The 12175-nt window shown below is 46.7% G+C and overlaps 1 pseudogene, besides 1 other annotated feature; it reads left to right on the forward strand.

Annotated features, from left to right (window-relative positions):
* Positions 2762–3064, forward strand: RN7SL26P (RNA, 7SL, cytoplasmic 26, pseudogene; annotated as a pseudogene).
* Positions 5338–5507: an enhancer, noted in NCBI's record as "experimental_91452 CRE fragment used in MPRA reporter constructs". NCBI's record gives its function as "activates a minimal promoter by MPRAs in K562 erythroleukemia cells, with activity observed for both the introgressed and non-introgressed 6:33511136 variant alleles {active_cell/tissue: K562}" and the evidence as "EXISTENCE:reporter gene assay evidence [ECO:0000049][PMID:34662402]".

Here is a 12175-nt window from a genome sequence, read left to right on the forward strand (position 1 = left end):
GAAATGAGATGTAAGTTATGCGGGAAAAGATTGCAAGGTAGTGTGTATACACAAAGGACAAGTATGTAAGATGTGTAGGTGTCAGTCCATGGGGATGATGGTGAAGGGCACTCAGGACCCTGAGAGTGGCAGGAGAGGTAAGATTAATCACCAGCAGAACCCATTCAGCTCCAGCTATCTCTAACGGTGTGGAGGAGAACTTGACATGATTAGGGCATTGTCTTTGATGTAATTTGGAAGGCTGCAATGTAGATAATGTTATCAGAATATATGTCCAAATACAATATTAACAGGCTATGACACAGCTTCCTGACTCCAGTTACTAGGATCAATCAATGCCTCTTTTTTGAATTCTGTGATACAGTTAGATTTTCCACATCCTTTCTCATAGGGAAAAGATGTGTGATCAACTTGCAGAATAGTCTTATTTACTTGCCAGATACATTTCTCATCGAAAATTGGCATGCTGGTTAATAATAACAGCTTGGAAGTTACATAAATGTCCAACAATAGGGAATCAGTTAAGAAGAAAATTCATCACAGTACATATATATATAATATAAGACTTTGCAACCATTTAAAAACGATATAAAAGAAGCTGGGTGGAGTGCTGCATGCCTGTAGTCACAGCTACTCGGGAGGCTGAGATGGCAGGATCACTTGAACCCAGGAGTTCAAGACCAGCCTGGGCAGAAACATAGCAAGACCATGTCTCTAATTTTAAAAATAATAACAGTAATGTAAAAGAGCAGAACATGCCATGGGAAAATAGAAGACATTTTAAAAATCAGGATGCAAAACAGATGTGTCAAATGATCCCAGCTGTGTTTAGAAATACATATACTCAGGAATAAAAAAAGGCCTGGAAGAACCCTTACTAAATATGGGATTATATTTCAGGGTGGAAATAGAGATAACTTGTTTTATTTTGTAATTTTGCAAATGTATGTCTTTATTTTTCTGTACTTTCCAATTTTTCTATAATGAACAATTACTTCTATAATCAGAAAATAAGGCGCTGTGGCTCATGCCTGTAATCCCAGCACTTTGGGAGGCCGAGGCGGGCAGATCACGAGGTCAGGAGATCAAGACCATCCTGCCTAACACGGTGAAACCCCGTCTCTACTAAAAATACAAAAAATTAGCCAGGTGCAGTGGCGGGCGCCTGTAGTCCCAGCTACTTAGGAGGCTGATGCAGGAGAATGGCATGAACCTGGGAGGCGGAGTTTGCGGTGAGCCGAGATCGCTCCACTGCACTCCAGCCTGGGCGACAGAGCCAGACTCCATCTCAAAAAAAAAAAAAAAAAAAAAATCAGAAAATAAAGAGCAATTTTTTTTTTGAGACAGAGTCTCGTTCTGTCACCCAGGCTGGAGTGCAGCGGCATGATCTTGGCTCGCTGCAACCTTTGCCTCCTGGGTTCAAGCAATTCTCCTGCCTCAGCCTCCGGAGTAGCTAGGACTACAGGCGTGTGCCACCATGCCAAGCTAATTTTTGTATTTTTAGTAGACAGGGGGTTTCATCATGTTGGCGAAGATAGTCTCGATCTCTGGACCTCGTGATCTGCCCGCCTCAGCCTCCCAAAGTGTTGGGATTATAGGCGTGAGCCACCGCGCCCAGCCAGCCACTTTCTTTACCTATAAAATGGGGATAATAAAATCACATTCCCCTTAAGGTTGTCAGCAGGAAAATGCCTAGAATAGTGACTGGCAAGTAGGAGTTACTTAGCAAAGGTTAGCTAATATCACTGACATCTTTGCGAATAGGGTGGTTTGAGTCTTAGGGTCAGGCCTGTCTTACCTGTGGTGATCCCCCTTGCAAAGTCAATCTGAGCGGCTGGCAGGCTTTCCTTCAAGCCTTTTCCATTCATTCCAGCGTGAACGATAGGTAACAAAGACAGGAAGGGAAATTTAGAGCTGAGTTCACAAACTCAGACTTTTTAGGCACCAGGCGGGAATGGTAAACTGAGTGAAGCAGCTGGGAAAGAAACGATGGGAGCTGTGGCTCCTGGAGAGGGAGGCCTCTCTGGAAGCACTGTCATCGCCCCATTATGACAGGGACATGTTCTGAGAAATACATTGTTGTGCAAACACCACAGGGTGTCTTTACTCACACCTAGCTGGTACAGCCTACAGCACACCTAGGCTAGATTGTCTAGCCTGTTGCTCCTAGGCTACAAACCTGTACAGCACTGTACTGAATACTGTAGACAGTTGTAACACAATGGTATTTGTGTATCTAAACATAGAAAAGGTACAGTAAAAATATGGCATAAAGGATTAAAAAATGGTACACCTATATAGGGCACTTAACATGAATGGAGCTTGCAGGACTGGAATTCGCTGTGGGTGAGTCATTCAGTGAGTAGTGAGGCCTGGGACATTACCGTACACTACTACAGACTTCATGAACACTGTACACTTAGGCTACACTAAATTTATAAAGAAATTAAGTGGCCAGGCACGGTGGCTCATGCCTGTAATCCCAGCACTTTGGGAGGCCGAGGTGGGTGGATCACGAGGTGAGGAGCTCGAGACCAGTCTAGCCAACATAGTGAAACCCTGTCTCTACTAAAAATACAAAAAATTAGCCGGGTGTGGTGGTGTGCACCTGTAATCCCAGCTACTCGGGAGGCTGAGGCAGGAGAATTGCGTGAACCCAGGAGGTGGAGGTTGCAGTGAGCCGAAATCAAGCCATTGCACTCCAGCCCAGGCGACAGTGTGAGACTCCATCTCAAAAAGAAAGAAAGAAATTAAGCAGTCAGGCGCCATGGCATGCACCTTGAGTCCCAGCTACTCTAGAGGCTGAGGGAGGCTGAGGCAGGAGGATTGCTTGAGCAAAGGATTTCTGGGCTGTAGTGAGCTATCCTGATCTGGTGTCAGCACTAAGTTCAACATTAATATAGTGACTTCCCTGGAGCTGGGGACCATTAGGTTGCCTAAGAAGGGGTGAACTGGCCCAGGTAGGAAACAGAGCTGGTCAGGACTCCCATGCTAATCAGTAGTGGGATAGCATTTGTGAACCACTGCACTCCAGCCTGGGCAACATAGCAAGACCCCCATCTCTTAAAAAAGAATAGGCTGGGCAAAGTGGTTCACTCTTGCCATCCCAGTGCTTTGGAAGGCTGAGGTGGGAGAATTACTTGAGGCCAGGACTTCAAGATCAGCCTGGGCAACATAGGGAGACCCCCATCTCTACAAAAAAATTAAAAATAAACTGGGCACGGTGGCTCACGCCTGTAATCGCAGAAATTTGGGTGGCCAAGGTGGGTGGATCACTTGAGGTCTGGAGTTTGAGACCAACCTGGCCAAAATGGTGAAACCCTGTCTCTACTAAAAATACAAAAATTAGGCCAGGCCTGGTGGCTTGCCTGTAATCTCAGCACTCTGGGAGGCCAAGGCAGGTGGATCACTTGAGGTCAGGAGTTTGAGACCAGCCTGGCCAACATGGTGAAACCCTGTCTCTACTAAAAATAAAAAATGTAGGCCAGTGCAGTGGCTCATGCCTATAATCTCAGCACTTTGGGAGGCCGAGGTGGGCAGAATGCCTGAGGTCAGGAGTTTGAGACCAACCTGGCCAACATGGCAAAATCCCCTCTACTTAAAATATAAAAACTAGCTGGGTGTGGTGGTGCGTGCCTGTAATCCCAGCTACTCGGGGGGCTGAGGCAGGAGAATTACTTGAACCCAGGAGGCGGAGGTTGCAGTGAGCTGAGATGGTGCCTCTGTACTCCAGCCTGGGTGATAGAGTGAGACTCTCTCCCCCAAAAAAAAAACTAAACAAAACAAAACAAAAACGGCCAGGAGCGGTGGCTCACGCCTGTAATCCCAACACTGTGAGAAGCCAAAGTGGGCAGATCACCTGAGGTCAAGAGTTCAAGATCAGCCTGGCCAACATGGTGAAATCCTGTCTCTACTAAAAATACAAAAAATTAGCCAGGCATGGTGTTGGGCACCTGTAAATACCATCTACTTGGGAGGCTAAGGCAGGAGAATTGCTTGAACCTGGGAAGTGGAGGCTGCAGTGAGCCGAGATCACACCATTGCACTCCAGCCTGGGTGACAGAGCAAGACTCCATCTCAAATATAAAAAAAAAAAAATTAGCCAGGCACAGTGGCACGTGCCTGTAGTCCTAGCTACCTCTGAGGCTGATGTGCGAGGATCACTTGAGCCCAGGAGTTCAAGGCTGCAGTGAGCTATGATAATGCCACTGAACTCCAGCCTGGGCGACAGAACAAGACCCCATCTCTAAAAAAAATAATAATAAAGGACCAGGCACAGTGGCTCACGCCTGTAATCCCAAGACTTTGGGAGGCCGAGGCAGGTCGATCACTGAGGCCAGGAGTTCAAGACCAGCCTAACCAACATGGTGAAACCCCATCTGTACAAAAAAAAAAAAAAAATAGCCAGGCATGGTGGTGTGCGCCTATAATCCCAGCCAGTCAGGAGCCTGAGGCATGAGAATCCCTTGAACCCGGGAAGCAGAGGTTGCAGTGAGCCGAGATCATACCACTATACTCCAGCCTGGGTAACAGAGTGAGACTCTGTCTCAAAAAATAATAGTAAATAACAATACTAAAATAATAAAATAAAATGGGCCGGGCACGGTGGCTCACCCCTGTAATCCCAGCACTTTGGGAGGCTGAGGCGGGTGGATCACCTGAGGTCAGGAGTTTGAGGCCAGCCTGGCCAACATGGTGAAACCCCATCTCTACTAAAAATACAAAAAAGAATTAGCCAGACGTGGTGGTGCGTGCCTGTAACCTCAGCTACTCGGGAGGCTGAGGCAGGAGAATCGCTTGAACCCAGGAGGCGGAGGTTGCAGTGAGCCGAGATCGCGCCACTGCACTCCAGCCTGGACGACAGAGTGAGACTCTGTCTCAAAATAATAATAAATAAAGTAAAACAGAAATAATAAAATTAAGTCATCATTCCATGGCATTACCACAGCCAAGACACCACTAGGCAACAGCAGTTTTTTCACTCCACTATAAGCTTATGAGACCACCATCGTATATGTGGTCTGTCATTGACCGAAACGCTGTTATTCAGCGCGTGACTGTACCTCAGTTGAACTTTCTTCAAGACCCTGGGCTGGCCTAACAACCCACATTGGCCCTGAAGCTGCCCTGAGTTTTGTCTTAACGTAGTCAGAAATAAAAAACAAGTTAAAGTGATGACAACTCTTCAGGAAGTTAGTTGCACAGGACAGCCACTCAGTGCTCCATCTTCCTCAGGGTGTTTACAACTGGGATTCATCTATTTTTCATGATTCCTTTAGGCAGGAGGTAATTAAAGTATATGGTTTTCATCCTCACATAGCATCACAGGCCACAGTAATGACAGAAGCCAATTACACAACCAACCTGTGGTGAAAAGGGCTTCCTGGGCTGCACAGTTGAGGGGCCCTGGAGGTAAATTAGCGGGACTGGTTAAGTCGGAGAGAGAATGACTGGGGAGGGGGTTCAGGGAGTAGGAACCGAGACCAGGGCAAATGAAATCTGTCCTAGAATTCCAGTGACCACATGGCTTACGGTTCCAATGGGCTACTTCTAAGAATGAAAGGGAGTAGTTTTAATAATTACACTTGGGTATGCATAGGCACAGAGAAAATAAAAATAATTATACTGGCACATTGGGTCTTAACCGGCATTGTCTCCAGACAAATTGGGACATATGGCCACCCTACTAAAATGAAAGTGTTCCCAAAGGCTAGTGTAAATTCCAGCGCTTCACCTGAAAACTATCTACTTACGTGGCAGAAATAAATCTTCAAACCACCATATGCTACTAAATAATCCAGAAGACCTATCACAAGGGCTTACTACACACAGGAGCTTAGAATTTTCCTCTCCGGAATCCTGAACAGAAAGCAGGAGAGCCTCTACAGCCAGGGCAAGGGCACTAGTTCCCAGAGACAGGGAAAAGCGTTTGAGAAGGAAATGGAGTAGAAATTAGTTCATCTTTGACACACAGCCCCTGGTTCCTCCCTACAAGAGTGATACCACGCCAGCCCCGAGCTCGGGGAGCTGTTGTCTGAACAGCTCCACTTGGAATGAACTGGGCCTGGGGCTGTCCCACCAGCCAGCTTCTGCTCTCCTTTCTTCATGGGACCCCAGGGGTTACTGTTTGGCCTTTGGCCCAGGAGCCACCTGTGTGGCAGTGACAGGAGAGGCTGTGATCACAGGCCTAAGGGCCACATGAGCAGCTGGGACCAGCTGAGACTCAACTTATATTTGATGTGTGTTCTACCTAACACGCATCCTGCAGATTCTACAGGCAGAAAACATGACTCCACTGTATTCCCGTGTTCTTGGGAATTGAGAATTTGTTTGAAGTAGGATAGGTAAACCTCAGCATATTATATAAAATGCACTCAGCTCAACTGCTGTGTTTAAAATACACATTTTAAATCCGTCTTTATAGACACTAATATAAAAGTATACCTTTCTGGGTTGTAAGCATGTGGTAGTATCAGAGTATTACATAGTCAATGTTAAATAAAAGCCAAAACTGGAGTGTACAGAAAAAATAAATCTATAAATATTCCTGTGTTCTGTTTGATAATTATCCCATCCAAGGCCAGGCGTGGTGGCTCAAGCCTATAACCCAGCATTTTGGGAGGCTGAGGCAGGCGGATCGCTTGAGGTCAGGAGTTCGAGAGCAGCCTCGCCAACGTGGTGAAACCCTGTCTCTACTAAAATTACTAAAATACAAAAAATCAGCCTGGTGTGGTGGCGTGTGCCTGGGAGGCTGAGGAAGGAGAATCGCTTGAACCCGGGAGGCAGAGGTTGCGGTGAGCCGAGATCATGCCACTGCACTCCAGCCTGGGTGACAGAGCAAGACTATGTCTCAAAAAAAAAAAAAAAAAGATAATTATCTCATCCAGACGTTTTCTCAAGTTATGAGACTTGAGCTTATCAGATTTGCCTCTCTTTTCCCTTCTCTGGTACTAATTAATGGAATTCCAAGCCAGGCTTTCGTAAATGCTAGTGAAAAATCTCATCAAGATTACAAGGGGAAAAATTCTCTCTTCTCCTACAATTGCAGAAAGCAAATATTCAATGTCATAAAACTGCTCTTGCTGAGGTTATTTTTAAAGAGTCTTTCAAGACTCTTAGACTTCAGAGATTGCTACTATGTCCAGGGAAAGTAACCTCTGACTTCTAAAAAGTCGGCAATGCTGATAGGTTTCTTAATGATTTGTAGTCCTGGAAATGCTATTTAAATAGATATGCTGCTTTCTGGAAGGTGTGGTTTTTCATTTAAACCAGGAGAGGCTCATTATTAGCAACCAACCTCTCTCCTCATAAGAGTATGGAGGTGAAAATGAATGGAAATAAGGATGGACTCTACTGGATTTGTTTTTTTCCTTGAGACAGGGTCTCGCTCTGTAGCCCAGGCTGGAGTGCAGTAGCGCAGTCTTGGCTCACTGCAACCTCCGTCTCCGGGGTTCAAGCGATTCTCCTGCCTCAGCCTGCTGAATAGTTGGGATTACAGGCGCCCGCCACCATGACTGGCTAATTTTTGTATTTTAGTAGAGCTGGGGTTTCACCATGTTGGCCAGGCTGGACTCCTGACCTCAAGTGATCCGCCCACCTCAGCCTCCCACAGTGCTGGGATTACAGGCATGAGCCACCGCATCCAGCCTGGATTTAGTTTTTAAACAGAATTTGACTGTCTAATGTTTAAGTTAACTTCATAAGCAATAAAGCCTCAACCGTTTACACGTCTGGTGGCTGAGGTTATTATGTTGCCTTTAGCAAACCCATGGAGAGAACTGACCCAAGAGGCCTGGATGGTAGGGTTCACATCAATACTGTACTGTATCAGGCCCCAACCTCGGCAAGCAGGAAAGTGTAGAAGAGTCCTGGGCTCCTGGCCCCCCAAACACAAGAGCCAGGGAAGGTCTTCATCTTCAAGAGGGCAAAACAGGCCAGGCGCGGTGGCTCATGCCTGTAATCCCGGCACTTTGGGAGACCGAGGCAGGCAGATCAATTGAAGCCAGGAGTTCAAGACCAGCCTGGCCAACATGGCGAAACCCCATCTCTACTAAAAATACAAAAATTAGCCGGGTGTGGTGTTGCACGCCTGTAATCCCAGCCTCTTAGCCTCTTGGGAGGCTGAGGCATGAGAATCGCTTGAACCCAGGAGACAGAGGTTGCAGTGAGCCGAGACCATGCCACTGCATTCCAGCCTGGGCGACAAAGCAAGGCTCTGTCTCAAAAAAAGAAAAAAGAAAAAAGAAAAAAGAAAAAAAAGGGCAAAACAGCTTTTTCTGTTAGGACGACTGCCTGGATTGTCTTCCCAGTCCCTAGGAATTCACTAAGGCACAGATGAGGAAGGAGGTTTGGAGGTCCTATTGCCATCACTCTGACACCCTTTTCTTAGTCTCAATGCCAGAAGAGGGGCCACTGGATTCAGAGCAGTGCTTACTGAACATGAGAGTTTTTGAGAATTTGGAGGTTCCAGATCCAAAGTCCCATTCTCTATGCTTCTTCCATTTCCAAAAAAACAAAGACACAGATACTAAACAACAAGAACCCTGAGAACGACCCTCTGCTCACTTCAAAATCCCAAGTCCACTGAGAACTGGGATTCCACCTGATGAAGGTGGAAAGAAACTCATCCTAAACATTTTTTTTTTTTTGAGACGGAGTCTCGCTCTGTCGCCCAGGCTGGAGTGCAATGGCGTGATCTCGGCTCACTGCAAGCTCCGCCCCCTGGGTTCACGCCATTCTCCTGCCTGTATCTGGGACTACAGGCGCCTGCCACAACGCCCGGCTAATTTTTTGTATATTTAGTAGAGACGGGGTTTCACCGTGTTAGCCAGGACATCCTAAACATTTTAATTTTATTTTATTTTTTTAGAGACAGGGTCTTGCTCTGTCGCCCAAGGCAGAGGTGCAGTGGTGCAATCATAGCTTACTGCAGCCTCAAAATCCTGGACTCAAACAATCCTCCTGCCTCCTCAGCTTCAGGAGTTGCTGGGACTATAGGCATGCACCACCACACCCAGCTAATTTTTAAAATTTTTTCTAGAAAAGGAGTTTCACCATGTTGTACAGACTAGCCTCGAGCTCTTGGTCTCAAGTGATCCTCCCACCTCAGCCTCCTAAAGTGCTGAGATTATAGGCGTAAGCTACCCCACCTGACCAAGAAACCCACGTTTTTTCTTTTTTGTTTTTTTTTTTTTTTTTTTGTGATGGTGTCTCACACTGTCGCCCAGGCTGGAGTGCAATGGCAAGATCTTGGCTCACTGCAAGCTCCACCTCCTGGGTTCACCCAATTCGCCTGCCTCAGCCTCCCGAGTAGCTGGGATTACTGGTACACACCACCATGCCTGGCTAACTTCTTGTATTTTTAGTAGAGATAGGGTTTCACTATGTTGGCCAGACTGGTCTCGAACTCCTGACCTCGTGATCCACCCACCTCGGCCTCCTAAAGTGCTGAGATTACAGGCGTGAGCCACTGCGCTCGGCCCAAGTAACCCATCTTAACCTTCCTTCATCGTAACCCTGAATCAGAGCACGGCCTGAAAGGATAATCACTGGTAATTGTAAAATCAATCAGGAAGATAAAACTAATTAAAATGAGCTTATACTCTTAGCAATAACTCAGAAGCCTTTACAACTATTTGTCTTGATTAGTACAAGTCGAGAGCAGAACAGACAGGGCCCCAGAGGCCTTCCTGCATTTTCCTGTCTGGCTATCTCTTGGCATCTGGTGTGGCTTTGTCGAGCCTGGATACACAAGACCTCTCCTTTCCAACTGGTTTATCACCTCAGGTTTATCAGCTGAAAATCCTGTTTGTGGACAAGGAAAAGGGTCTGAGTGTTAAGCACAGGCATCTCAGGCCAAATCTCTGCTGGTTAGCCCCTTCACTCCTGGCCCCACAAGAACTAGCTGTGATCTTTTCTGCTCCCACCCCTTAGCCCCTTCCCCCTGGTTCTAGATACTCCATTTGCTTCCTTAGGGGTGGAGCTACCCCAGCCAATTATTTCAGGATTCCTTCTCCCCATGATGAGCCAAAGACTCCCTACCTCTCCACTTTCTTCCAGTCTAAACTAGCCTAAAAGGACTTCTCGGATAAATGTTTTTCTAGCCTGGGCGCAGTGGCTTACGCCTGTAATCCCAGCACTTTGGGAGGCCGAGGTGGGAGAATCACTTGAGGTCAGGAGCTCGAGACCAGCCTGGCCAACATGGTGAAACCCTGTCTCTACTAAAAATACAAAACTGGGCATGGTGGCTTGTGCCTGTAACCCAGCTACTTGGGAGTCTGAGGCAGGAGAATTGTTTGAGCCCAGGAGGCGGAGGTTGCAGTGAGCCGAGATTGCACCACTGCACTCCAGCCTGGGTGACAAGTGAGTGAGACTCCGTCTCAAAAAAAAAAAAAAAGTTTTTCTCCTAGTGACCACAAAAATACTGACAATGGGTAGTTAAAGCTGAATCTGTTTCCTGCTTTCATTTTTAGATGATATCCTGAGAATCTCTTTTCTATCACATTCATATCAGGGGTGGAGTTAACCCCCACCCCGTCCTTTCATCCTTTCTCCAACAATAGGGAGACTTCTCTTTGAACTACAAAGTATGAGGGGCTGGCAAACTGTAGGTAGGAGTCTTCTACCTTAATGTCCCCCCAATTTTAATCTAATTAAATCATTTCAATACAAGAGTAGAGTGACAAAAAAGAGCTAAAAAATCATTTCATCTATTTGAGGAAGTTGGAGAAATAAGCTCTCTCAGGGGTCAGGCTATACTCTGAGGTGTGGAAAACAATATAGTCCTGCTGGGCACGTCCTTCTTGTGTGTCTAGGATGACCTGAAGGACAGTGGCGGTGAGCGGCCACCCTGGAAGCCTACAGTCAGTCCCAGGGCTGGGCTCCTGCTGTGCAGACAACCCACAGAGACTCCAGGTGTGAGAAAAGCAAGCAACATAGTCATGCACCCCATTACCGTTTTGGTCAATGACAGAAGGTGGTCTCATAAGATTATAATGTGGTATTTTTACTGTACCTTTTCCATGTTTAGATACACAAATACCTACCATGGTATTATTATATTCAGTATTTATTTTTATTTATTTATTTTCAAGACGGAATCTCCCTCTGTCACCCAGGCTGGAGTGCAGTGGCGCGATCTCAGCTCACTGCAGCCTCTGCCTCCCGGGTTCAAGGGATTCTCCTGCCTCAAGCCTCCCAAATAGTTGGGACTAAAGATGTGCGCCACCAGGCCTGGTTAATTTATGAGCCTCTATAGAGACGCCTCTTCCTATGTTGTAAGTCCTTCCTGTGGTCTTGAACTCCAGGGCTCAAGCAACACCTCCCGCCTTGGCCTCCCAAAGTCTTGGGATTAAATGCGTGAGCCACTGCACCTAGTGAGAATTATGGAGTAAGGACTTTCCTGTGACTCACAGCCTCTGACTGGAGGACTTACCTGCAGTTTCTTACCAGCTGTGGGCTCTTCCCCATTCTTCCTCCCGCACGTTGTAGGATGTGTCAAACTAGACCTCTTAGCTTGTTATCTTAGTAAGCAGTCTTATTTTTGTGTCAGACAAAAGGCTTAGAATTTGCCTGTGCCAGGTCGGGCGTGATAGCTCAAGCCTGTAATCCCAGCACTTTGGGAGTCCAAGGCGGGTAGATCACTTAAGATCAGGCATTCGAGACAAGCCTGGCCAACATGGCAAAACCTTGACTCTACTAAAAATACAAAAATTAGTTGGGTGTCATGGTACATGCCAGCTACTCAGGAGGCTGGGGCAGGAGAATTGCTGGAGCCCGGAAGGCAGAGGTTGCAGTAAGCTGAGAGTGCGCCATTGCACTCCAGCCTGGAGGCTGGAGTGACAGAGCAAGACTCTGTCTCAAAAAAAAAAAAAAAAAAAAAGAGAGAGAGAAAGATAATTTGCCTGTGCCTCTGTGCCCCTTATTGGTATGGCAAGCCCTCTGTTGGCCAGAGCACTGGTGGTTAGAGCTGTTCCTGAACCCCCTATTACCTGGGAGAGCCTTGAGGTCCTAGTGGTAAGATATTATTTCTACTTCTATACTCATGTCTGATTCTTTTTTTTTTTTTCAGACAGATCTTGCTGTGTTGCCCCAGCTGGAATGCAGTGGCTCTTCTCAGGTATCCCAGGTATGATCACAGTACATTACAGCCTTGAACTCCTAGGCCCGAGCAGAG

The sequence above is a fragment of the Homo sapiens genome, chromosome 6, assembly GCF_000001405.40.
Source record: "Homo sapiens chromosome 6, GRCh38.p14 Primary Assembly".
Lineage (NCBI taxonomy): Eukaryota > Metazoa > Chordata > Mammalia > Primates > Hominidae > Homo > Homo sapiens.